The 27973-nt window shown below is 37.9% G+C and overlaps 1 protein-coding gene across 52 annotated transcripts in view; it reads left to right on the top strand.

Annotated features, from left to right (window-relative positions):
• The window catches only part of STK33 (serine/threonine kinase 33), a 259405-nt gene that overhangs the window by 72879 nt on the left and 158553 nt on the right, over positions 1-27973 (top strand). The window contains exon 1 of one of the 52 annotated variants that reach the window (XM_017018154.2): positions 23673-23689. The exons of the other annotated variants lie outside the window; for them this stretch is intronic. The gene's annotated coding sequence lies outside the window, so the exon portion shown is untranslated. Of the gene's footprint in view, positions 1-23672; positions 23690-27973 lie in introns of those variants that run through there. 52 annotated transcript variants of the gene reach the window in all.

The raw sequence follows: 27973 nt of genomic DNA, 5'->3' as shown, positions 1-27973 counted from the left end.
TGTCAAAGATCAGATGGTTGTAGATGTGTGGTATTATTTCCAAGGGCTCTGTTCTGTTCCATTGGTCTATATCTCTGTTTTGGTACCAGTACCATGCTGTTTTGGTTACTGTAGCCTTATATAGTTTGAAGTCAGGTAGTGTGATGCCTCCAGCTTTGTTCTTTTGGCTTAGGATTGTCTTGGCAATGGGGGCTCTTTTTTGTTTCCATATGAACTTTAAAGTAGTTTTTTCCAATTCTGTGAAGAAAGTCATTGGTAGCTTGATGGAGATGGCATTGAACAAATTATAAATTATAAATAATTTTTATTTATTTATAAATAAATATAATAAATTATAAATTACCTTATAAATTATAAATTTAGATAAAGATCCAATTTCATTCATTATCATTAGAAATCATTTCATTTATTATCGTTATAAATTACCTTGTGCAGTATGGCCTTTTTCACAATATTGATTCTTCCTATCCATGAGCATAGAATGTTCTTCCATTTGTTTGTGATCTCTTTTATTTCATTGAGCAGTGGTTTGTAGTTCTCCTTGAAGAGGTCCTTCACATCCCTTGTAGGTTGGATTCCTAGGTTTTTTATTCTCTTTGAAGCAATTGTGAACGTGAGTTCACTCATGATTTGGCTGTCTGTTTGTCTGTTATTGGTATATAGGAATCCTTGTGATTTTTGCCCGTTGATTTTGTATACTGAGACTTTGCTGAAGTTGCATATCAGCTTAAGGAGATTTTGGGCCGAGACGATGGGGTTTTCTAAATATACAATCATGTCATCTGCAAACAGGGACAGTTTGACTTCCTCTTTTCCTAATTGAATACCCTTTATTTCCTTCTCCTGCCTGATTGCCCTGGCCAGAACTTCCAACACTATGTTAAATAGGAGTGGTGAGAGAGGGCATCCCTGTCTTGTGCCAGTTTTCAAAGGGAATGCTTCCAGTTTTTGCCCATTCAGTATGATATTGGCTGTGGGTTTGTCATAAATAGCTCTTATTATTTTGAGATATGTCCCATCAATACCTAGTTTATTGAGAGTTTTTAGCATGAAGGGCTGCTGAATTTTGTCAAAGGCCTTTTCTGCATCTTTTGAGATAATCATGTGGTTTTTGTCTTTGGCTCTGTTTATATGCTGGATTACATTTATTGATTTGCATATGTTGAACCAGCCTTGCATCCCAGGGATGAAGCTGACTTGATCATGGTGGATAAGCTTTTTGATGTGCTGCTGGATTCGTTTTGCCAGTATTTTATTGAGGATTTTAGCATCGATGTTCATGAGGGATATTGGTCTAAAATTCTCTTTTTTTGTTGTGTCTCTGCCAGGCTTTGGTATCAGGATGATGCTGGCCTCATAAAATGAGCTAGGGAGGATTTTCTCTTTTTCTATTGATTGAAATAGCTTCAGAAGGAATGGTACCAGCTCCTCTTTGTACCTCTGGTAGAATTCGGCTGTGAATCCGTCTGGTCCTGGACTTTTTTTGGTTGGTAGGCTATTAATTATTGCCTCAATTTCAGAACCTGTTATTGGTCTATTCAGGGATTCAACCTCTTTCTGGTTTAGTCTTGGGAGGGTGTATGTGTCCAGGAATTTATCCATTTCGTCTAGATTTTCTAGTTTATTTGCGTAGAGGTGTTTATAGTATTCTCTGATGGTAGTTTGTATTTCTGTGGGATCGGTGGTGATATCCCCTTTATCATTTTTTATTGTGTCTATTTGATTCTTCTCTGTTTTCTTCTTTATTAGTCTTGCTAGCAGTCTATCAATTTTGTTTATCATTTCCAAAATCTAGCTCCTGGATTCATTGATTTTTTTGAAGGGTTTTTTGTGTCTCTGTCTCCTTCAGTTCTGCTCTGATCTTAGTTACTTCTTGCCTTCTGCTAGCTTTTGAATGTGTTTGCTCTTGCTTCTTTAGTTCTTTTAATTGTGATGTTAGGGTGTCAATTTTAGATCCTTCCTGCTTTCTCTTGTGGGCATTTAGTGCTATAAATTTCCCTCTATACACTGCTTTAAATGTGTCCCAGAGATTCTGGTGTGTTGTGTCTTTGTTCTCATTGGTTTCAGAGAACATCTTTATTTCTGCCTTCATTTCGTTATGTACCCAGTAGTCATTCCGGAGCAGGTTGTTCAGTTTCCATGTAGTTGAGCGGTTTTGAGTGAGTTTCTTAATCCTGAGTTCTAGTTTGTTTGCACTGTGGTCTGAGAGACAGTTTGTTATAATTTCTGTTCTTTTACATTTGCTAAGGAGTGCTTTACTTCCAACTATGTGGTCAATTTTGGAATAATTGTGATGTGGTGCTGAGAAGAATGTATATTCCATTGATTTGGGGTGGAGAGTTCTGTAGATGTCTATTAGGTCCGCTTGGTGCAGAGCTGAGTTCAATTCCTGGATATCCTTGTTAACTTTCTGTCTTGTTGATCTGACTAATGTTGACAGTGGGGTGTTAAAGTCTCCCATTATTACTGTGTGGGAGTCTAAGTCTCTTCATAGGTCTCTAAGGACTTGCTTTATGAATCTGGGTGCTCCTGTATTAGGTGCATATATATTTAGGAAGTTAGCTCTTCTTTTTGAATTGATCTCTTTACCATTAAGTAATGGCCTTCTTTGTCTCTTTTGATCTTTGTTGGTTTAAAGTCTGTTTTATCAGAGACTAGGATTGCAACCCCTGCTTTGTTTTTGTTTTCCACTTGCTTGGTAGATCTTCCTCCATCCCTTTATTTTGAGCCTATGTGTGTCTCTGCATGTGAGATGGGTCTCCTGAATACAGCACACTGATGGATCTTGACTCTATCCAATTTGCCAGTCTGTGTCTTTCAATTGGGGCATTTAGCCCATTTACATTTAAGGTTAATATTGTTATGTGTGAATTTGATCCTGTCATTATGATGTTAGCTGGTTATTTTGCTTGTTAGTTGATGCAGTTTCTTCCCTGCATTGATGGTCTTTACAATTTGGCATGTTTTTTGCAGTGGCTGGTACCGGTTGTTCCTTTCCATGTTTAGTACTTCCTTCGGGAGCTCTTGTAAGGCAGGCCTGGTGGTGACAAAATCTCTCAGCATTTGCTTGTCTCTGAAGGATTTTATTTCTCCTTCACTTATGAAGCTTAGTTTGGCTGGATATGAAATTCTGGGTTGAAAATTCTTTTCTTTAAGAATGTTGAATATTTGCCCCCACTCTCTTCTGGCTTGTAGAGTTTCTGCCAAGAGATCCTCTGTTAGTCTGATGGGCTTCCCTTTGTGGGTAACCCGACCTTTCTCTCTGGCTGCCCTTAACATTTTTTCCTTCATTTCAACTTTGGTGAATCTGACAATTATGTGTCTTGGGGTTGCTCTTCTCAAGGAGTATCTTTATGGTGTTCTCTGTATTTCCTGAATTTGAATGTTGGCCTGCCTTGCTAGGTTGGGGAAGTTCTCCTGGATAATATCCTGGAGAGTGGTTTTCCAACTTGGTTCCATTCTTCCCTTCACTTTCAGGTACACCAATCAATCATAGATTTGGTCTTTTCACCTAGTCCCATATTTCTTGGAGGCTTCATTCGTTTCTTTTTACTCTTTTTTCTCTAAACTTCTCTTCTCGCTTCATTTCATTAATTTCATGTTCAATCACTGATACCCTTTCCTCCTCTTTATCAAATTGGCTACTGAAGCTTGTGCATGCGTCACGTAGTTCTCATGCTGTGATTTTCAGCTCCATCAGGTCATTTAAGGACTTCTCTGCACTGTTTATTCTAGTTAGCCATTCGTCTAATCTTTTTTCAAGGTTTTTAGCTTCTTTGCAATGGGTTTGAACATCCTCCTTTAGTTTGGAGAAGTTTGTTATTACCGATCGTCTGAAGCCTTCTTCTCTCAACTTGTCAAAGTCATTCTCCGTCCAGCTTTGTTCCGTTGCTGGCGAGGAGCTGCATTGCTTTGGAGGAGAAGAGGCACTCTGATTTTTAGAATTTTCAGCTTTTCTGCTCTGGTTTCTCCCCATCTTTGTGTTTTTATCTACCTTTGGTCTTTGGTGATGGTGACGTACAGATGGAGTTTTGGTGTGGATGTCCTTTCTGTTTGTTAGTTTTCCTTCTAACAGTCAGGACCCTCACCTGCAGGTCTGTTGGAGTTTGCTGGAGGCGTACTCTAGACCCTGTTTGCTTGGGTATCACCAGCGGAGGCTGCAGAACAGCAAATGTTGCAGAATGGCAGATGTTGCTGCCTGACCCTTTCTCTGGAAGCTTTGTCTCAGAGGGGCACCCGGCTGTATGAGGTATCAGTTGGCCCCTACTGGGAGGCGTTTCCCAGTTAGGCTACTCAGGGGTCAGGGACCCACTTGAGGAGGCAGTCTGTTCGTTCTTAGATCTCAAACTCTGTGCTGAGAGAACCGCTACTGTCTTCAAAGCCATCACACAGGGACGTTTAAGTCTGCAGAAGTTTCTGCTGCCTTTTTTTCAGCTATGCCCTGCCCCAGATGTGGAGTCTACAGAGGCAGGCAGGCCTCCTTGAGCTGTGGTGGGCTCCATCCAGTTTGAGTTTCCAGGGCGCTTTGTTTACCTACTCAAGCCTCAGCAATGGCGGACGCCCCTCCCCCAGCCTTGCTGCCACCTTGCAGTTCAATCTCAGACCACTGTGCTAGCAGTGAGTGAGGCTTCGTGGGTGTGAGACCCGCCAAGCCAGGCACGGGATATAATCTCCTGGTATGCCATTTGCTAAGGTCATTTGGAAAAGTGCACTATTAGGGTGGGAGTGCCCCGATTTTCCAGGTACCATCTATCACGGCTTCCCTTTGCCAGGAAAGGGAATTCCCCCGCCCCTTGCACTTCCCGGGTGAGGTGATGCCCCATCCTGCTCCGTGGGCTGCACCCTCTGTCTGACAAGCCCCAGTGAGATGAACCCAGTACCTCAGTTGGAAATGCAGAAATCACCCATCTTCTTTGTCGCTCACGCTGGGAGCTGCAGACTGGAGCTGTGCCTATTCGGCCATCTAGGAATCTGCCCCCAGTTTCATTCTTTTATATGTGGATATCCAGTTTTCCCAGTGCCATTTGTTGAAGAGACTGTTCTTTCTCCATTGTGTATTCTTAGCATCTTTGTTGAAGGTCAGTTGACTATATATGCATGGGTTTATTTCTGGGATCTCTATTCTGTTCCATTAGTCAATATGTTTATCTTTATGGCAGTATTATATTCTTGATTACTGTAGCTTTGTAATATATTTCCAAATCAGGAAGTGTGATGCTTCTGGCTTTGTTCTTTCTTAAGATTGCTTTAGCAATTTGTGGTCTTTTGTGGTTGCATGTGAATTTTAGGATTGCTTTCTTTTTGTAAAAAATGCTGTTGGGATATTGGTAAGGATTGCGTTTAATCTGTAGATTGCTTTGGGCAGTGTGGGCATTTTGACAATATTAATTATTCCAATCCATGAACATAGGATGTCTTTCTTGCCCCAGATCTTATAAAGCTTTCAGTTTTACGCCTTTGAGTGTGATGTTAACTATGGGCTTTTCATATATGGTCTTTATTACGTTGGGATTGTTTTCTTCTATTCCTGGTTTGTTGAGAGTTTTTTTGTTTTTTATCATGAAAAAGTGTTGAATTTTATCCAAATGCTTCTCTGCATCTATTGAGACAAAGATGTGATTTTATTTTCAATTCTGTTAATATGGTGTATCACATTGATTGGTTTTCATGTGTTGAACTATCCTTGCATCTCAGAGATAAGTCTTACTTGGTCATGGTTTGTGATCCTTTTAATGTGCTGTTGAATTCAGTTTGCTAGTGTTTTGTTGAGAATTTTTACATCTGTATTCATCAGAGATATTGTCATGTAGTTTTCCTTTTTCGTGGTATCTTTATCTGGCTTTGGTATCGGGCTAATGCAGCTCTTATAAAATGAATTTGGAATTCACCAGTGAAGTCTATAATCCTGGGCTTTTCATTGTTGGGAGGTTTTTGATTAATGATTCAATTGCCATACTAGTTATAGATCTGTTTAGACTTTCTGTTTCTTGAATTTATCTTGGTAGGTTCTATGTTTCTAAGAATTTTTCTGTTTCTTCTAGGTTATCCAGTTTGTTGGCGTATAATTGTTCGTAGTAGTCTCTTATGATTCTTTTTATTTCTGTAGCATGAGCTGTAATATCTCTTCTTTCATTTCTGATTTTATTTGAGTATTCTCTTTTTTTCTTAGTATAGCTAAGAGTTTGTCAATTTTGTTTATTCCATATGTCTCTTGTATTCTTTTCAATATTTTGTATTTTCTCCTTGATTTAATCTGGATGCATTTTAATTGTTCATTTTTCTGACTTCTCTTCCAGTTCAGCTGAGTTTAATCTGCTATTATGACCATCCTTTGAGTTTCTAATTTTTGCAATTGCATTTTTCAGGTCTTTAATGTCCTTTTGTTCATTTTTTGTGTTTTCTCATTTATTATAATTTTCTTGTCTGTATTTCTTTGATAGTTAGAGTCTCTATCTGATAACTTTAATGTTTGGAGCCTCAGTTGGTGAGTTTATATTCCTGGTTTTATTCATGTTTGCTTGTCTAGTCATGTGGCTGTTTTAAAAAAATTAAATTGTTTGCCAGACATTATATTTGAAACATTGTTTGCAGAGATAATCTGAGGTCCAGGATGGTGTCATCAACATTCAGAGAAGGATTATGTTTGTTCCTGCTAGCGCCTGTGGGTATAACCAGTCCAGGATCACGTCAACTCAATTTTAGAGAATGAGATGATTTGATGCCTATTGCTGTAGGTTGGAAGTCCTTCAGAGTTCTACCTCAATGTAATAAGGCTCCTGAGGTACTCAACCTTGGTGGACTTTAGACTGTATTTCTTATCCGCATGATCCCTGGAGGCTATCAGTAACATCCCACTCAGTCTATCTGTTGTTTCCTCAGGAATTGGCAAGCATCTCCAAATAGAATCTATAAATTAGTTTTAGTTTAATTTTTTACAGCTCAGATTTTTTTCCCCCATAGAGTGGTTTTATTCACGATGGCTAAGTTTCCAGGCTAACCCACAAAGGTTTAATCTGTTATTGTGTTAAAATGAAATAGAAAATTTGTAGAAAATGTGTTAATAATAATTATAGTCATTTATCAAAAAATAGAAGTTACCATAAATTTGGAAGCAACCTAAGTGTCTGTCAACACATGAATGGATAAAGAAAATGTGACACATATATACAATGGAGTACTATTCAGCCATATAGAAGAATGAGATCCTGTCATTTGCAACAACATAGTTAGAACCTGAAATCATTATGTTAAGTGAAATAAGCCAGGCACAGAAAGACAGACTTAGTATGTTCTCACTTATTTCTGGGAGCTAAAATACTAAGACAAGTAAACTCATGGAGATAGAGGGTAGAAGGATGGTTACCAGAGCTGGAAAGCGTAGTGGTGTGGGGTGGGGTGGGGAAGTGGGGGTGGTTAATTGGTACAAAAAATAGAATGAATAAGAACTCGTATTTGATAGCACTGCAGGGTGACAGTAGTCAATAATCATGTAATTGTACATTTAAAAATAACTAAAAGAGTATAATTGAATTGTTTATAACACAAAGGATAAATGTTTGAGGTGATGGATACCCCATTTATCCTGATGTGGTTATTACACATTGCATGCCTGCATCAAAATATCTCATGTATCCCATAAATATATACACCTACTATATACCCCCAAAAATTAAAAAAAAAGTTACCGTGATTGAAGTAATGTTTTAAAGTCTTGAGTACTTTTGATTTAAAAAAGCAGCCTCAATTTCAGGGGGATGAAAAAGTTGCAAGGATTGTGAGGGGATGGTTTGGATCTACGAGCAGTGTAGAGGTGGATAGCATGATTCTATATGGACTGTAATTTTTACAATCAGACTTATAGTTCTGTTTTTGGTTGATACAGTAATATCAGTAGCACTATAGACAAAACCAGCATTCATGAATAGTGCCTTATTTACACTGCAAATGAAACATATAGAGAGGGAGAGCTTCTTGAGGTATGGGTCAGCATTTGAAAGCAAGGTGGTAGGAACGGGCTACACACAAGCATAAGGGATTCTATTAGGTGGAATTAGCAGTATTGTGATGAGGAAAAAGAAGTGAGATGTTAGGTGAGCAGGGACAAAACCAGCAGGTTCTTGATTTCCTTGATGAGCAGAAGCAAGCTGTAGGGTGGTTAGCTCCACACGCTCTCCATGATGGCACAGGACTCCTTGCTTGCTTTAGTAAATAGTTTTGACTAAGTGGCAAAAAAGTGATGGTATACATTAGCAACTTATATGCATCATTATTCATAAGAGTGCCGCTTATAACCAAAGAATCAATTGTCATTTGTAGAATGAAGGAATATATAAATAGGAATTTCATAATTTGTTTAATTTTTTCTCTATTTGGGCTACAATAGTAAGTCCTTGAGAAATCTAATGTGAAAAGCAACTCAGTGCTAAACCTAGGGGCGCTAAATATGCTAAATATAATGGGAAGTTATAAGGCACAATAGGAAGAAAGAAGAGCAGGGAACTAGGTAATTGTGTACCTGAGGAAGGCCAAGGTCAAAATTTGATCAGAGTGAAAGTAGTTTGTCACTTCCCTAGCAAAGTCATGCTGACTCTATGAGATGGGGAACAAGCTTGTGCAAGAAGAAATCTGAGTCAGCACAGTACAGGCGAGAACCTAAGAAGGACAGTACAGTAAGGTGAAAGAACTAGGCTTTTAGTATTTTATGTATTAGACTTAAAAATAAAAAATATAAGCTTAAGAAGCTCATAAGAAATGAGCTTACAATAAAATTCTGAACATTTTGACCTCCTGCCTCCACAAACACTCTTGCCTTAGGACCATAGCTGTTACAGGAATGCTTTTCCTTCCAGCTTCTGCCAATTTTAAGTGAAATCCCTTTATGGACTCTTCATTTTTTACCTTGCTGGAGATCATCTCTCCCTTCTTTGAGCCAGTAGCACTTTGTATACTTCGTTTATCTGTGTCACATTTTATGTTAGATTGTATTTTTTAGAGACTCTGGTTGATATTTTTTTTGTATATCTACCCTCTATTTCCACAAGACCAAGAACGAGATCTTATATAAATTAGGTGCCCAATAAATACAAACTATGAAAAAAAGAAATTGTATATCATTATGTAAATTTTTGTCAGTTATAGAGAAAAGCATAAGTAGCAAGGAAAACTTAGTCACTAGAAATAAAGGAGAATTAATCTATAGATTATTGACCCAACAGAAAACTACTGTAAAATTCATTAGTCTGTTTTATCTATGAGCATAATCTACTTAAAGAAGATCTACCCTTTGATCTGGAGCTTTATTTGTAATAATAGTTGGCGCAGAAGGAATCATTTGCACATTTAATCCTTTATAAGTAGCTTTCTTTGATCATTTTGTAGAATTTCCATTTTTATATCTTAGAGTTATGACATATTAAGGGCAATACTTTAAAATATTACTGTTTTGATAGATGCAAAAATCTTCAACAAAATACTAGCTAACGGAATCAAACAGCATACCAAAAAGATAATACATCAGATCAAGTGGGTTTCATACTAGGGATGCAGGGATGGTTTAATACAAGTCAGTAAATGTGATATATCACATAAACAGAATTAAAAACAAAAATCATATCGTCATTTGAATAGACACAGCAAAAGCATTTGATAAAATCCAGCATCTCTTTATGATAAAAACTCTCAACAAGATTGGCATAGAAGGGACATACCTCAAAGTAATAAAAGCCAACTATGACAAAACCACAGCCACCATCATATTGAATGGGGAAAAGTTGAAAGCATTTCCCTTGAGAATTGGAACAAGACAAGGATGCCCACTTTCACCACTTCTGTTTAACATAGTACTGGAAATCCTAGCCACAGCAATCAGACAAGAGAAATAAATAAAGGGCACCCAGATTGGAAAAGAGAAAGTCAAACTGTCACTGTTCATCAATGATGTGATCATATACCTAGAAAGCCCTACCAAAAACCTTCTAGATCTGATAAGTGAATCCAGTAAAGTCTCAGGATACAAAATCAATGTACACAAATCAGTAGGACTGCTATACACCAACAATGATGAAGCTAAGAAATCAAGAACTCAGTCCCTTTTAAAATAGCTGCAAAAAATAATAAAATAATTAGGAATATGCTTAACCAAGGAGGTGGAAGATCTTTACAAGGAGAACTACAAAACACTGCTGAAAGAAATCATAGGTGACAAAAACAAATGAAAACACATCCCAACTTCATGGATGGGTAGAATCAATATTGTGAAAATGACCATACTGCCAAAAGCAATCTACAGATTCAGTGCAATTCCCGTTAAAATACTATTGTCATTCTTCACAGAACTAGAAAAACAATACCAAAATTCATACAGAACCAAGAAAGAGCTTCCATAGCCAAAGCAAGACTAAGCAAAAAGAACAAATCTGGAGGCATCACATTATATACTGCAAGGCTATAGTTACCAAAGCAGCATGGCACTGGTATAAAAATGGGCATGTAGACCGATGGAACAGAATGGAGAGCACAGAAATAAAGTCAAACACTTATAGCCAACTGACCTTCAACAAAGCATACAAAAACATAAAGTTGGGAAAAGGACACCATATTCAATGAATGGTACTGGGAAAATTGGCAAGCCACATGTAGAAGAATGAAAATGGATCCTCATCTCTCACCTTATACAAAAATCAACTCAAGATGAATCAAAGACTCAAATCTAAGACTTGAAACTATAAAAATTCTGGAAGATAACATTGGAAAGACTCTTCTAGACATTGGCTTAGGCAAATAATTCATGACTGAGAACCCAAAAGCAAACGCAACGAGAACAAAAATAAATAAATGGGACCTAACTAAATTAAAAAGCTTCCACACTACCAAAAAAATAATCAACAGAGTAAACAGACAACCCACAGAGTGGGAGAAAATATTCTCCAACTACATATCTGACAAAGGACTAATATCCAGAATCTACAAGGAACTTAAGCAAGTCAACAAGAAAAAAACAAATAATCCCATCCAAAAGTAGGCAAAGGACATGAATAGACAATTCTCAACAGAAGATATACAGACAGCCAACAAACTTATGAAAAATGCTCAACATCACTAATTATCAGGGAAACGCAAATTAAAACCACAATGAGATACCTTACTCCTGCAAGAATGCCCATAATTAAAAAGCCAAAAAATAATAGGTGCTGGTGTGGATGTGGTGAAAAGGGAACACTTTTACACTGCTAGTGGGAATGTAAACTAGTACAACTACTATGGAAAACAAGATAGAGATTTCTTAAAGAACCAAAAGTAGAACTACCATTTGATCTGGCAATCCCACTGCTGAGTATCTACCCAAAGGAAAGGAAGTCATTATATAAAAAAGACACATGCACACACGTTTATAGCAGCATAATTCTTAATTGCAAAAATATGGAACCAACCTAAATGCCCATCAGTCAAGGAGTGGATAAAGAAAATGTATGTACACAGCATGGAATACTATTCAGCCATAAAGTGGAATGAAATAATGGCCCTTGTAGCAACTTGGATGGATCTAGAGGCCATTATTCTAACTGAAGTAACTCAGGAAAGGAAAACCAACTATCATATGTTCTCACTTATAAGTGGGAGCTAAACTATGAGGATGCAAAGGCATAAGAATGATATAAAGGACTTTGGGGACTCAAGGGGAAGGATGGATGGGGGTGAGGGATAAAAGACTACATATTAGGTACAGTGTACTCTGCTAGGGTGGTGGGTGCATCACAATCTCAGAAATCACCACTAAGGAACTTATTCATGTAACCAGAAACCACCTGTACCCCCAAAACTATTGAAATAAAAAATGTACTATTTTGTAACAAATATGATGGGGTCATTAAAACATATTCATCATTAGATTCAGGATCTGCTGGAAAACGTTTAATAAGTTATTTAAACCCTACCCGTATTTTATTTGGGTGTATTTTCATGGCCCAAGTATTATGTTTGAAGTGCTGATTTCATTGGGAATTTTGAAAAGAACCATTTCTACACATACAAAGTTATAGAATGGGAGTCGACTATAGTCACATGGAAGGTTTTCATTAAAATGTCTCTTCCTGTAGATTTACCCCAAAAAGATAGGATTTAATCGTTGAACTCTTATCCTTTATATGAGAAGTGTACTTAATATAGATCAGACTATGCCATTTAATGTCTGAACATATTGTAATGAGTGGCTTTTTTTTTTTTTTTTTTTTTTTGAGACAGAGTTTTGCTCTTGTTGCCCAGGCTGGAGTGCAATGGCACGACCTTGGCTCACCAAAACCTCCGCCTCCTGGGCTCAAGTGATTCTCCTGTCCCAGCCTCCTGAGTAGCTGGGATTACAGGTGTGTGCCACCACACACAGCTAATTTTGTATTTCTAGTAGAGACGGGGTTCCTCTATGTTGGTCAGGCTGGTCTCGAACTCTCGATCTCAGGTGATCTGCTCACCTCGGCCTCCCAAAGTGCTGGGATTATAGGCTTGAGCCACTGAGCCCGGCCATGAGTGGCCTTTAGAATTGACTGAGACCTTGATGGTTATTCATTTCAAGCTCCTATTTAGGGAGAAACCCATTCTCCACATTTCCATTCTCCATTGTGTTAAAGTTAATTCCTCACATGTCCCGATTGAGGTTTTTCAATACCAGTTTGGTCAAACTTTGGATCATGACCATTAATGGGTAGTGAAATCAATTTAGTGGGATGAGGGGTGTTGTGACAAGAGTTTTTTAAAAGAGGAATAGAATAGACAAGAAGAAAAGGTAAGGCCAGGCACAATAGCTCATGCCTATAATCCAATGCTTTGGGAGGCCAAGGTGGGAGGATTGCTAGAGCCCAGGAGTTTGAGAATAGCCTGGGCAACATAGGGAGACTCCATCACTGCAATAAATTAAAAAATTCGCTGGCTGTGGTGGTGGTGGGCACCTGTAGTTCTAGCTACTGGGGAGGCTCAGGTAGTTGGATCACTTCAGCCTAGGAGTTCGAGGCTGCAGTGAACTATGATTGTGCAGCTACACTCCAGCCTGGGTGAAAGAGTGAGACCCTGTCTCAAAAAAAAAAAAAAAAAAAAGAATAGAAGGTAGAGTATTTGTTTCAGTATATACATGTATGTGTGTGTTGGGTCATAATGTAAAAACCTATTTGTTGGCTGGGCGTGGTGGTTCACACCTGTAATCCCAGCACTCTAGGAGGCCAAGGTGGGCAGATCACCTGAGGTCAGGAGTTTAAGACCAGCCTGGCTAACATGGTGAAAACCCGTCTCTACTAAAAATACAAAAATTAGCTGGGCATGATGGAGGGTGCCTGTAATCCCAGCTACTTGGGAAGCTGAGATGGAAGAATCGCTTGAACCTGGGAGGCAGAAGTTGCAGTGAGCCGAGATCGTGCCATTGCACTGCAACATGGGCGACAGAGTGAGACTCCATCTCAAAACAACAACAACTACAACAACAAAACAAAACAAAGTAAAAACAAGGTATTTGTTATTGTAGATCAGGTCAAAAGCTTTTGAGAAATACTCAACTAGACTGCACGATCCTTGTGATAGGAGTCGTATTATAGGTGCTCATTAAATGCTTGTGGAATTATTATATTTGCCTCAGTTGTCAGTTTGTATTAAAAAGTAGGGGCTTGTTTACCCAATCAATTTCTGATTGGACTTATGTGGAGACAGAGGTTTTTCATCAGGGGTGCCTTTAAGTGTACCCCCCCATCCCCCTTATTTAGTCTTCTTTAAGATAAATGGGTTTTAAGACATAGACATGCTCTATATTTCCTCCTTCCTCCTTCACCTTTACCACAGGAGTCATCAAAGACTCTTCGCTGGGTAGTGATTTAGACTTATTCCCTGTCTCATACCCCCTTACAATGTGCATTGAGTGTTTATAATTTATCAGGCAGCAGTATAAGTATTTTATATGTATTAACTCATTCACTCCTCATCATAAGCCTCTAGAAGGTGCTCTGTTATCTCCAATTTACTGATGAGTAAACTAAAACACAAATAGATTAAGTGGATTAAGATCACAGGCTTAGTAAGTGGCCAGAATTTGAACCTAGGCAATCTTTGGGTATCGTAGAAAGAACACAGCACTTATCAAGAGCAGTGAGCTAGGCTAGAGGGCTGGTTGGCTCAGGGAGTTTTGCTCAACCAAGGCTCTTTTTGGGGGCAAGGCTGCTAGAAGGCCTTGCGTCATCTTTTTTTGTATTTCAGATCCCTGAAATTAGGTAAATCTGGAAAATGGACTGAATTTTCATTTTTACTTAATATTTTGATGCTGTGTGGACAAAGCCTGAGATAAGTGACCACATGTCACTTAAGATAAATCCATATTTAGTTTGAAAAGCAATGATCAGAATTGGAAATCTGAAGTATAATCTACTGTATAGGATGCCCCATGGCTAGCATGTGAATAGACACTCAGAGTAAGCAGGGGAGAAAGGGATAATTTATTTATAAGCACACACATATGTATGTGCATATGTATGTGTGTGTATTTATATCAAATTAAAAAGGTAAAAGTGTGTATGTGGGTAAATGATGTTGACAAATATAAGAGGGAAAATGGCCATAAAGGAGCTTGTGGTAGGCAGAATAACGGCCCCCCAAAGGTGTCCACGTCCTAATTCCTGGAACCTGTAAAAATGTTACCCTAAATGGCAAAAGAGACATTGCAGAATTAATTAAGGTTAAGGATCTTCAAATGAGGGGATTTTTTTGCTGGATTATCCAGGTGGGCCCAATCTAATCACACGAGTCCTTAAAAAAATCGGAGAACCTTTCCCAGCTGTGGAGAATCAGCATGGAAACAGATTCTCTCCTAAAGCCTCCAGAAAGGAATGCAGCCCCGCTGACACCTTGATTTTAGCCCAGGGAGGCTGTTAGATTTCTAACTTACAGAACTGTAAGATACTGAATTTGTATTGTTTAAGCCACTGAGTTTGTGCTGATTTGTTACAGCAGCAATAGAAAATGAATATAGGGCTCTTTAGTACTGCCCAAATTATCAAAAAGAGAGTTTCTCTGAAGGTAAGTTTCCTTCCACCTCCTCAAAGAAGCTGAAACTGTTTAGCCTTGAGAAGACAAAGTTAGTAAGGGTAACTTAGCTCTGATCTTCACTATTTAAAAGGTTATCATATGGAAAAAAGATTAGATTATTATGTTGAGTTGGAAGAATTTTAGGACAAGAGTTGAATTTACGGAGATTGTGACAATTATAGCTATCAAAATTGGACTGGGTGGCATTGCAAAATGTAAGCTCCCCTTCTCTGGAAGTGCCCAGAAATAATAATACAGTATATGGCATTTTAAAGCCATTTTGCAGTTTACCAAAAGCTTTATGTTCATAAATCATCCCATTTAATCCTCAACAGTGTGGTGAGTTAGTCCTACTTTTTTCATTTTATGTGTAAGTAAACGAAGGCTAACAGAGCTTAACGTAACTTAACAGAGGGCTCACAGCTAGTTAGTAAGGGCAGAGTTGGGAGTTGAGTGTTGTTTTAGGAGTTGAAGTTCAGTGCCTTTCCTACTGCCTAATTCATTCATTCCTTCCTTCATTCATTTGTTCACATTTATAGAGTGCTTCTTTTGACAAACACCTGGATAGGGCAACAGGAGTAAAGTAATGAACGAAGTAAGTGTGTTGCCTGTCCTTAGCGCTTACGGTCTGAGGAAGGAGAAACTGGGAATTTCACAGAGTGTGACTAACGCTGTGTAGGAGGAAGTAGTGTGTGATCCAAGAACACGTGGAAGGGCTACCAGGTCAGCCTTAGAGGTTAGGGAAGCCTTCTTGGAAGAGGTGGTGTTTAAGAGTGACAAAGAGTGATCCAGAAAAAGATGAACCTGGGCAAGGGCAGGATGGTAGGAAGAATGTCCCACGTGGAGGGAATAGCACACGTGGCAGCACAGAGAGGAGAGAAACTAAATTGACATCTGTCCGAGAATGTCAGAGGGGAGAGTCCTTCCACTAGTGAACAGTTTCGATACATGCCTTCTAAGGCTCCTTCCAACTTTAACATTCAATAAATCTATGAAAAATATCAATTTTTAAATAGGTAACAGACTGCGTGGCTTCATTTGGTGAACTTTTATCATTAGCTTATATATCAGGCATATGTAGATGCAAATCAGGATGCTAAGCACTGAATAAGAGTTTCGAAGTGGAACCAATAGGCTATTCCAGAGGAAAAACAGACTACAGTTTATGGCTGTCCAGTGGTGTGTTGGTAAATATTTAGCAATCACCTTTCCAGAAAAATAAGCTCTGATTTATGGCATTTGCCAATTCCATGGTATAAGCACACCCACCATGGCTAATTTTAAGCTGCCATCACTGCTGTGGAGTTGGGAAGAGATGTGCATGAACACACCATTGTGTAGTATTTTCAGCATACAAATGCAGTAGGCACAAAGAACCGCAAGATTGCAGCATAAACTGTGATGAAATGATTAGGAAGTGATGAATTTTGAGTATTTATTACTTTTGTTCCTATATCATTTATTATAAGTTTATATAATTTATTTATTTTCCTTTTTTTTAGGGACAGGGTCTTGCTCTGTCACCCACGCTGGAATACAGTGGCGTGATCGTAGCTCACTGAAGCCTCGAACTCCTGGGCTCAAGTGATCCTCCTGAGCCTCCCAAGTAGCTAGGACTACAGGCACACACCACCATGCCTGGATAATTATTTTTTATTTTTATTTTTTATTTTTCTGGAGATGAGGTCTCCCTGTGTTGCTAGGCTGATCTTGAACTCCTGGCCTCAAGTGATCCTCCCACCTTGGTCTCCCAAAGTGCTGGGATTATAGACGTGAGCCATGGCACCTGGCCTATAATTTAATTTTTAATAGTAATTGTATTTGACAACTATATCTCAAAATTCCTGAAAATTTAACAATTGGCTCTTGCAAGTTGATACAGGCCAGCTTTAGCACATTACAACCGCTACCCCTGGAAATGCTGCTTAGGGTGTTGCCATTGTGAGAATTGACCTAGTTGTCAAAGGGCTCTCTGTGCTTCTTACAAAGCTTACATATTCCCACACCCAATGTAAATAATGATGTATTGGTTCATAACAGCAGTAGCTGTCAGTTTCATGGGAGTGGAGTAGAAAAGCTCCTATCTACCCTTTCCTCTGAATCCTGTTTTTCAGCTTTGACAGGCTTATGTCTGGCTAAAATAGTCTGTTGCACTTATTTTGTTATTGTGTAGAGGAGATAAAACATGGAGCGGGGAAAATTTTCCTATTTTGTATGAGTTCCTGGCAGAGCAAACAAATGACTATTTTTAGCCACTGGGAACTTAAGGAGTACAGTTTTAAAGTCCATTGTGAAACAATTTCTATGTAATTCCTTTTAAAGCTATTGTGTTCCATTTGATGTTTGTTAATTGCTGAAGGAAAAAGAGTCCTACCTATTTAAAACACAGAAGTCAAGTTCAAGTACAGGAGAAGTGTTAGAAAGGGGAGGGAGTCCCTTTATTATATAGATAAGGAGATTGGTGACAAGTCAGATAAAAAGAATGAGACCTAGTGGGCTAAATCATCATAATAAGAGGCTGGAAGGTGTAGACTGGGAGAAATGAAGAAGGGCTTCCCACCCAAGGAAGAAAGAGTAGTGAATTTTAAGTCGAACTGACTAAAATGCTAGTCAAAGACATAGATCCTTTGAGCTGGGAAAGCATTTAGGATTAATAGTTTCAAGATGGAGACTTTTTAACTTTTAGTTTCAGGGGTCCATGTGCAGGTTTGTTACATAAATAAGTTGCATGTTGCAAGGGTTTGGTGTCTATGTTGTTTTGTCACTCAGGTTTGAGCATAGTACCCAATCAGTAGTTTTTTGAATCCTCACACTCCTCTCACCCTCCATTCTCAAGCAGGCCCCAGTGTCTATTGTTCCCTTCTTTGTGTCCATGTGTACTCAGTGTTTAGCTCCCACTTATAAGTGAGAACATGCCGTGTTTGGTTTTCTGTTCCTGCATTAGTCTGCTTAGGATAATGGCCTCCAATCCATCTATGTTGCTACAAAAGACATGATCTTATTCTTTTTTATGGCTGTGTAGTATTCCATGGTGTATGTGTACCACATTTTCTTTATCCAGTCTACCGTGGATGGACATTTAGGTTGATTCCATGTCTTTGCTATTGTAAACAGTGTTGGTGCAATGAACATATGCATACATGTGTCTTTATAGTAGAATGATTTATATTCCTTTGGGTGTATACCTAATAATGGGATTGCTGGGTCAAATGGTAGTTCTTTGAGAAGTCGTCAAACTGCTTTCTGCAGTGGTTGAACTAATTTACATTTCCACCAGCAGTGTATAAGCATTCCCTTTTCTCTGCAACCTCACCACTATCTGTTATTTTTTTACTTTTCAAAAATAGCCATTCTGACTGGTATGAAATGGTATCTCATTGTGGTTTTGATTTGCATTTCTCTAATGATTAGTGATGTTGAGTATTTTTTCATATGCTTATTGGCTGCATGTATGTCATATTTTGAAAAGTGTTCATGTCCTTTGCCCACTTTTTAATGGGGTTGTTTATTTTTTGCTTGTTAATTTAAGTTCCTTATAGATTCTGGATATTTGACCCTTGTCAGTTGCATAGTTTGCAAGTATTTTCTCCCATTCTGTGGATTGTCTGTTCTGTTGATTAGTTTCTTTTTTTCCTCTGTGCAGAAGCTCTTTAGTCTAATTAGGTCCCATTTGTCAATTTTTGTTTTTGTTGCAGTTGCTTTTGGCATCTTTATCATGAAATCTTTGCCAGTTCCTATGTATAGAATGGTATTGCCTAGGTGATCTTCCAAAGCTTTTATGTTTTGGGTTTTACATTTAAGTCTTTAATCCATCTTGAGTTGATTTTTGTATATGGTATAAGGAAGGGATCCAGTTTTAATCTTCTGCATATGGCTAGCCAGTTATCCCAGCACCACTGATTGAATAGGGAGTCCTTTTCCCATTGCTTTTGTCAGCTTTGTCAAAGATTTGATGCTGGTAGGTGCACAGCATTATTTCTGGGCCCTCTATTCTGTTCCATTGGTGTGTGTCTGTATTTGTTCTAGCACCATGCTTTTTTGGTTACTGTAGCCCCGTAGTATAGTTTGAAGTTGGGTAACAGACTTCACTTAAATTAATTTTGGCAAATTTTTAGGGACGACTTAATTTTTAAAAATTTAAATATAATTTATAGACCATAAAATCTACCATTTTAAAACATATATTTTCATGGTTGTACAATCATCACACTATGTAATTGAGAACATTTTCATCTCCCCACGAAGAAACCTCATACCTATTAGTCACTTCCCAAGCCCTGAAATACACTAATCTGCTTTCTGTCTCTTATGATTTGCCTATTCTGGACATTTCATATAAATAGACTCATATAATATATGGGCTTTGTATCTAGCTTCTTTTACTTAGCAGAATATTTTCAAGGTTCATCCATGTTGAATATATATCAGTGGCCAAATAATACTCTATTGTATGTATATACCATGTTTTCTTTATTCATCAGCTGATGGGCATTTTTGCAACTTATTCATCAGCTGATGGGTTGTTTGCAACTTTTTGGCTATTATGAATAATGCTGCTGTGAACATTTGTGTACATTTTTGTGTGAACATGTTTTCAATTATCTTGGATCTAAGAGTAGAATTGCTGGATCATATGGTAGATGTGTTTTACTTTTTGAGGAAATCCCGAACTGATTTCTGGCTATACCATTTTACATTCCCACCAGCAGTATATGGAGGTTCTAGTTTCTCCACATCTCTTTATACACTCTCCAGCACTTGTTATTTTATTTTATTTGTTTTTTACTATAGCTGTCCTAGTGAATGTGAAGTGATATCTCATGCTTTTGATTTGTATTTTCTTGATAACTAATGATGCTGAACATCTTTTCATGTGCTTATTGGCCATTTGTATATTTTCTTTGGGAAAATTTATTCAAATTCTTTGCCCATTTTAAAATTGGGTTGTCTCTTTATTCTTGAGTTGTAAGAATTCTTTACATGTTCTTGATAGTAGGCCCTCATTAACTATATGATTTGCAAATATTTTCTCCAAGTCTGTGGGTTATTTTTCACTTTCTGGATAGTGTCCTTTAAAGCACAAATGTTTCTTATTTTAAAGTCCATGTATCTATTTTTCCTTTGGTTGCTCATGCTTTAGGTGTCATATCTAAGAAACTGTTGCCTAATCTAACATCGCAAAGATTTACCTCTATGTTTTCTTCTAGAAGTTTTATAGTTTTAGCCCTTACAATTAGGTCTTTGATCTATTTTGAGTTAAGTTTTGTATATGGTGTGAGATATGGGTCTACATTTATTCTTTTGTGTGTAGATATCCAGTTATCCCAGCACCATTTGCTGAAAAGACTGTTCTTTGCTCACTGAATTGTCTTGGTACCTACCCTTGTCAAAATTCAATTAGTCACTTGTTTTTTACATGTATATAGTCTCATTTCTGGACTCTCAATTCTGTCCTATGATCTATATGTCTGTTGTAGGCCAGTACCACAGTGTTTGGATTACTATAGTTTTGAAGTAAGCTTTAAAATCATTAAGTATGAGTGCTGTAACTTTGTTCTTTTTCAAGATTGTTTTTGCTATCGTAAATCCTTTCATTTTCATATGAACTTTACAATTATCTTGTCAATTTCTACAAATAGGTAGATGGAATTTCAATAGGGATTACACTGAATTGGTAGATCAGTTTGGGGAGTATTGATTCTTCCAATACATGAAGACAAAATGTATTTCCATTTGTTTCTTTAATTCCTTTCAATGAAGTTTTATAGTTTCATGTGTACAAGTCTTGCACTTATTCTGTTAATTTATTCTTTTTATACTATTGGATTGAATTGTTTACTTCATTTCATTTTCAGATTGTTCATTGTGAATGTGTAGAACTACAACTGATTTTTTATATATTGATCTTCTATAACCTTGCTAAACTCACTTATTAGCTGGTGTGTGTGTGTGTGTGTGTTGGGGGGTGTTTCTGTGTATGTATGTATTCCTTAGGATTTTTTCCATACAGGATCATGTCACTTTGCAAATAGAGATAATTTTTTCTTCTGCCATCATAATCTGGATGCAGTTTATTTTACTTTCTTGTTTAATTGTGCTGTAGTGTAGGACCTCCAGTACAATCTTAAATAGAAATGGTGAAAGTAGATATTCTTGTCTTATTCCTGATTTTAGAGGAAAGCTTTCAATCTTTCACCGTTAAGTATGATGTTACTTATGTTTTTTTAAAATTATATTTTAAGTTCTGGGGTACATGTGCAGAACGTGTAGGTTTGTTACATAGGTATACACGTGCCATGGTGGTTTACTGCACCCATCAACCCATCATCTACATTAGGTATTTCTCCTAATGCTATCCCTCCCCTAGCCCCCCACCCCACGACAGGCCCTGGTGTGTGATGTTCCCCTCCCTGTGTCCATGTGTTCTCATTGTTCAACTCCCACTTATGAGTGAGAACATGTGGTGTTTGGTTTTCTGTTCCTGTGTTAGTTTGGTGAGAATGATGGTTTCCAGCTTCATCCATGTCCCTGCAAAGGACATGAACTCATCCTTTTTTATGGCTGCATAGTATTCCATGGTGTATATGTGCCACATTTCTTTATCCAGTTTGTCATTGATGGATATTTGGCTTGGTTCCAAGTCTTTGCTATTGTGAATAGTGCCACAATAAACCTACGTGTGCATGTGTCTTTATAGTAGCGTGATTTATAATCCTTTGGGTATATACCCAGTAATGGGATTGCTGGGTCAAATGGTATTCCTAGTTCTAGATCCTTGAGGAATTGCCACTCTGTCTTCCACAATGGTTGAACTAATTTACAGTCCCACCAACAGTGTAACAGCGCTCCTATTTCTCCACATCCTCTCTAGTATCTGTTGTTTCCTGACTTTTTAATGATCGCTATTCTAACTGGCATGAGATGGTATCTCATTGTGGTTTTGATTTGCGTTTCTCTAATGACCAGTGATGATGAGATTTTTTCATGTTTGTTGGCTGCATAAATGTCTTCTTTTGAGAAGTGTCTGTTCATATCCCTTGCCCACTTTTTGATGGGGTTGTTTTTTCTTGTAAATTTAAGTTCTTTGTAGATTCTAGATATTAGCCCTTTGTCAGATAGGTAGATTGCAAAAATTTTCTCCCATTCTGTAGGTTGCCTGTTCACTCTGAGGATAGTTTCTTTTGCTGTGCAGAAGCTCTTCAGTTTAATTAGATCCCATTTGTCAATTTCGGCTTTTGTTGCCATTGCTTTTGGTGTTTTAGTCATGAATTCTTTGCCCGTGCCTATGTCCTGAATGGTATTGGCTAGGTTTTCTTCTAGGGGTTTTATGGTTTTAGGTCTTACGTTTAAGTCTTTAATTCATCTTGAGTTAATTTTTGTATAAGGTATAAGGAAGGGGTCCAGTTTCAGTTTTCTGCATATGGCTAGCCAGTTTGCCCAACACCATTTATTAAATAGGGAATCCTTTCCCCATTGCTGTTTGTGTCAGGTTTGTCAAAGATCAGATGATTGTAGATGTGTGGTGTTATTTCTGAGGCCTCTGTTCTGTTCCATTGGTCTATATATCTGTTTTGGTACCAGTACCAGGCTGTTTTGGTTACTGTAGCCTTGTATATAGTTTGAAGTTAGGTAGTGTGATGCCTCCAGCTTTGTTCTTTTTGCTTAGGATTGTCTTGGCAATGTGGGCTCTTTTTTGGTTCCATATGAAATTTATTTTTTTTCCAGTTCTGGGAAGAAAATCAATGGTAGCTTGATGGGGATAGCACTGAATCTATAAATTACTTTGGGCAGTATGGCTCTTTCATGATATTGATTCTTCCTATCCATGAGCATGGAATGTTTTTTCATTTATTTGTGTCCTCTCTTATTTCCTCGAGCAGGGTTTGTAGTTCCCCTTGAAGAGGTCCTTCACATCCCCTGTAAGTTGTTTTCTTAGGTATTTTATTCTCTTTGTAGCAATTGTGAATGGGAGCTCACTCATGATTTGGCTCTCTGTTTGTCTGTTATTGGTGTATAGGAATGCTTGGGTTTTTAATAGATGACTTTTATCAGTTTGAGGAAGTTCCCCACTATTACTTGTTTGCTGAGTGCTTTTTTCTTTTAAAATTACAATAGGTTATTGGTTTTTGTCAAATGTTTTTTTTCTGCATATATCAAAATGATATGTTTATTTTACCATTTATTGTATTAATAATGTGTTGGATTATTGCATTAATATAGTATACTACATTGATTTTTATTTGTTGAACCTACCTTGTATTTCTGAGATCAGTTCCACTTGGTCTTAGTGTGTATCCTTTTTATATGCTGCTGAATTCAGTTGGCTAGTATTTTGTTGAGACTTTTGCATTTATACTCATAAGGGAAATTGGTCTACAAAAGTTGTGTGTGTGTGTGAGATGTCTTTGACTGGTTTTGGTATCACTGTAGTACTGACCTCAGTCTAATCACTTTATTTTTGAAAGTTAGTTTTGCTGGATTTAGAATTCTTGGTTGATAGGTTATTTGTTTTTTCCTTTCAGAACTTTGAATATATTGGCCATGTGTGGTGGCTCATGCCTGTAATCCCAGTACTTTGGGAGGCAAAGGCAGGCAGATCACTTGAGCCCAGGAGTTCGAGACCAGCCTGGGCAATACGGTGAGACCCCATCTCTACAAAAATTAGCTGGGCATGGTGGCATGTGCCTGTAGTCCCAGCTACTCAGGAGGCTGAGGTGGGAGGATCACTTGAGCCCAGAGAGGTCAAGGCTGCAGTGAGCTGTGATCATGCTACTACACTCCAGCCTGGGTGACATAGTGAGACCCTGTCTCAAGAAAAAGAAAAAGAAAGAACTTTGAACATGTCATCGAATTTCCTTCTGGCCTCCATGGTTTCTGTTGACAATTTAGTTGTTAATCTTTTGGAGGATATTGAGGATCCTTTGTATGTGATAAGTTGCTTCTCTCTCACTGCTTTCAAGGTTCTCTTTGATTTTGTTTTTTGACAGTTTGAATAATATGTGTCTATGTATGATCTTTTTGAGTTTATGCCACTCAGAGTTTTTTTGAGCTTCTTGGATGTGCAGACTAATGTTTTTCACTAAATGTAGAAATTTTTGGCCATTATTTCTTCAAATATTATTTCTTCCCCTTTATGTTTCTTCTCTCCCTTGGGTTATGCATATGTTGATACATTGATGGTATCCCACAGGTGTCTCTGAATCTATGTTATTTTTTATTTTTTGTTTGTAATATGTGGAATTAATTTATTATAATGAGTATCAATAATATACAAAAATAAGAAATATTGATAATTTTGTATGCTATGCAAAACTATTCATACATGAAGATAAATCAATGCTTCCTCTAAAAACTGATATGGTAAAAATAATTACTTGTTTTTTTAATTTGGGGGATGCTACCTAACATAAAAAAAATGAAATATCAGCCGGGCGCAGTGGCTCATGCCTGTAATCCTAGCACTTTGGGAGGCCGAGGCAGGTGGATCACAAGGTGAGGAGATCGAGACCATCCTGGCTAACACGGTGAAATCCTGTGTCTACTAAAAATATAAAAAATTAGCCGGGCGTGGTGGTGGGCACCTGTAGTCCCAGCTACTCGGGAGGCTGAGGCAGGAGAATGGCGTGAACCTGGGAGGCGGAGCTTGCAGTGAGCCGAGATCACGCCACTGCACTCCAGCCTGGGTGACAGAGTGAGACTCCATCTCAAAAAAAAAAAAAATGAAATATCACACAGGCTTATTTTAAAAAAATAATTTTTACATGATTGTCCAATCCTAGAGGCAAGATCAAACTTAATTAACATCAGTAGAGATTCCTTAAACACATTAAATTTTGTAAAGTACCTTCTGGGTGACATTATCTGCTATTATACAAAACAGACGGAGAATAAACTAAATTCAAGTCTAATCATAGAAGCACCAGCAATTAAAATTGTTTTCAAATAATTTACAAATACATGTACTGCATAAATTCATTTTTTGCACACAATACACAGCATTAGAATTATAAGAAAGACAAAGTGTATGGCAAAGTTAAATTAGAGGATAACTGCAGTTGTTCCTGAGTGTTCCTTCCCTCTGTAATTTGCATATGATCATATACATGGGATTTATTTCAGCAATCTCCTGGAAAATCAAGTTCACTTCTTTTTTTTTGTCCTTCCTTTTTCTTTTTCTTTTCTTTTTCAAAAAAAATTTTTTATTATACTTTAAGTTCTAGGGTACATGTGCACAACATGTAGGTTTGTTACATAGGTATGCGTGAACCATGTTGGTTTGCTGCACCCACTAACTTGTCATTTACATTAGGTATTTCTCCTAATGCTATCCCTCTCCCAGCCCCCCACCCCATGACAGGCCCCAGTGTGTGATATTCCCCGCCCTGTGTTCAAGTGTTCTCATTGTTCACTTCCCATCCATGAGTGAGAACATTTGGTGTTTGGTTTTCTGTCCTTATGATAGTTTGCTGAGAATGATGGTTTTCAGCTTCATCCATGTGCCTGCAAAGGACATCAACTCATCCTTTTTTATGGTTGCACAGTATTCTATGGTGTTTATGTGCCACATTTTCTTAATCCAGTCTATCATTGATGGACATTTGGCTTGGTTCCAAGTCTTTCCTATTGTGAATAGTGCCACAATAAATATACATGTGCGTGTCTCTTTATAGTAGCATGATGTATAATCCTTTGGGTATATACCCAGTAATGGGATCGCTGGGTCAAATGTTATTTCTAGTTCTAGATCCTTGAGGAATCACCACACTGTCTTCCACAATGGTTGAACTAGTTTACACTCCCACCAACAGTGTAACAGCGTTCCTGTTTCTCCACATCCTCTCCAGTATCTGTTGTTTCCTGACTTTTTAATGATCACCATTCTAACTGGCATGAGATGGTATCTCATTGTGGTTTTGATTTGCATTTCTCTAATGACCAGTGATGATGAGATTTTTTTTCATATGTTTGTTGGCTGCAAAAATGTCTTCTTTTGAGAAGTGTCTGTTCATATCCTTTGCCCACTTTTTGATGGGGTTGTTTGTTTTTTTTCTTGTAAATTTGTTTAAGTTCTTTGTAGATTCTGGATATTAGCCCTTTGTCAGATGGGTAGATTGTAAAAATTTTCTCCCATTCTGTAGGTTGCCTGTTCACTCTGAGGGTAGTTTCTTTTGCTGTGCAGAAGCTCTTCAGTTTAATTAGATCCCATTTGTCAATTTCGGCTTTTGTTGCCATTGCTGTTGGTGTTTTAGTCATGAATTCTTTGCCCATGCCTATGTCCTGAATGGTATTGGCTAGGTTTTCTTCTAGGGTTTTTATGGTTTTAGGTCTAACATTTAAGCCTTTAATCCATCTTGAGTTAATTTTTGTGTAAGGTGTAAGGAAGGGATGCAGTTTCAGCTTTCTACATATGGCTAACCAGTTTTCCCAGCACCATTTATTAAATAGGGAATCCTTTCCCCATTTCTTGTTTTTGTCAGGTTTGTCAAAGATCAGATGGTTGTAGATGTGTGGTGTTATTTCTGAGGCCTCTGTTCTGTTCCATTGATCTATATCTCTGTTTTGGTACCAGTACCAGGCTGTTTTGGTTACTGTAGCCTTGTATATAGTTTGAAGTCAGGTAGTGTGATGCCTCCAGCTTTGTTCTTTTTGCTTAGGATTGTCTTGGCAATGTGGGCTCTTTTTTGGTTCCGTATGAACTTTAAAGTAGTTTTTTCCAATTCTGTGAAGAAAGTCATTGGTAGCTTCATGGGGATGGCATTGAATCTATAAAATTACCTTGGGCAGTATGGCCATTTTCACAATATTGATTCTTCCTATCCATGAGCATGAAATGTTCTTCCATTTGTTTGTGTCCTCCTTTATTTCGTTGAGCAGTGGTTTGTAGTTCTCCTTGAAGAGGTCCTTCACATCCCTTGTAAGTTGGATTCCTAGGTATTTTATTCTCTTTGTAGCAATTGTGAATGGGAGTTCACTCATGATTTGGCTGTTTGTCTGTTATTGGTGTATAGGAATGTTTGTGATTTTTGCACATTGATTTTGTATCCTGAGACTTTGCTGAAGTTGCTTATCAGCTTAAGGAGATTTTGGGCTGAGACGATGGGGTTTTCTAAATATACAATCATGTCATCTGCAAACAGGGACAATTTGACTTTCTCTTTTCCTAATTGAGTACCCTTCATTTCTTTCTATTGCCTGCTTGCTCTGGCCAGAACTTCCAATACTTTGTTGAATAGGAATGGTGAGAGAGGGCATCCCTGTCTTGTGCAGGTTTTCAAAGGGAATGCTTCCAGTTTTTGCCCATTCAGTATGATAGTGGCTGTGGGTTTGTCATAAATAGCTCTTATTATTTTGAGATACATTCCATCAGTGCGTAGTTTTTTGAGAGTCTTTAGCATGAAGGGCTGTTGAATTTTGTCAAAGTCCTTTTCTGCATCTATTAAGATAGTCATGTGGTTTTTGTCATTGGTTCTGTTTATGTGATGGATTACATATAGTGATTTGGGTATGTTGAACCAGTCTTGCATCCCAGGGATGAAGCCAACTTGATCGTGGTGGATAAACTTTTTGATGTGCTGCTGGATTCAGTTTGCCAGTATTTTATTGAGGATTTTAGCATTGATGTTCATCAGGGATATTGTTCTAAAATTCTCTTTTTTTGTTGTGTCTCTGCCAGGCTTTGGTATCAGGATGATGCTGGCCTCATAAAATGAGTTAGGGAGGATTTTCTCTTTTTCTATTGATTGAAATCGTTTCAGAAGGAATGGTACCAGCTCCTGTTCATACCTCTGGTAGAATTCCACTGTGAATCCGTCTGGTCCTGGACATTTTTTGGTTGGTAGGCTGTTTATTATTGCCTCAATTTCAGAGCCTGTTATTGGTCTATTCAGAGATTGAACTTCTTCCTTGTTTAGTCTTGGGAGGG

The sequence above is a fragment of the Homo sapiens genome, chromosome 11 (assembly GCF_000001405.40).
Source record: "Homo sapiens chromosome 11, GRCh38.p14 Primary Assembly".
Taxonomy (NCBI): Eukaryota; Metazoa; Chordata; class Mammalia; order Primates; family Hominidae; genus Homo; species Homo sapiens.
This window is presented reverse-complemented; position numbering and strand designations above follow the sequence as displayed.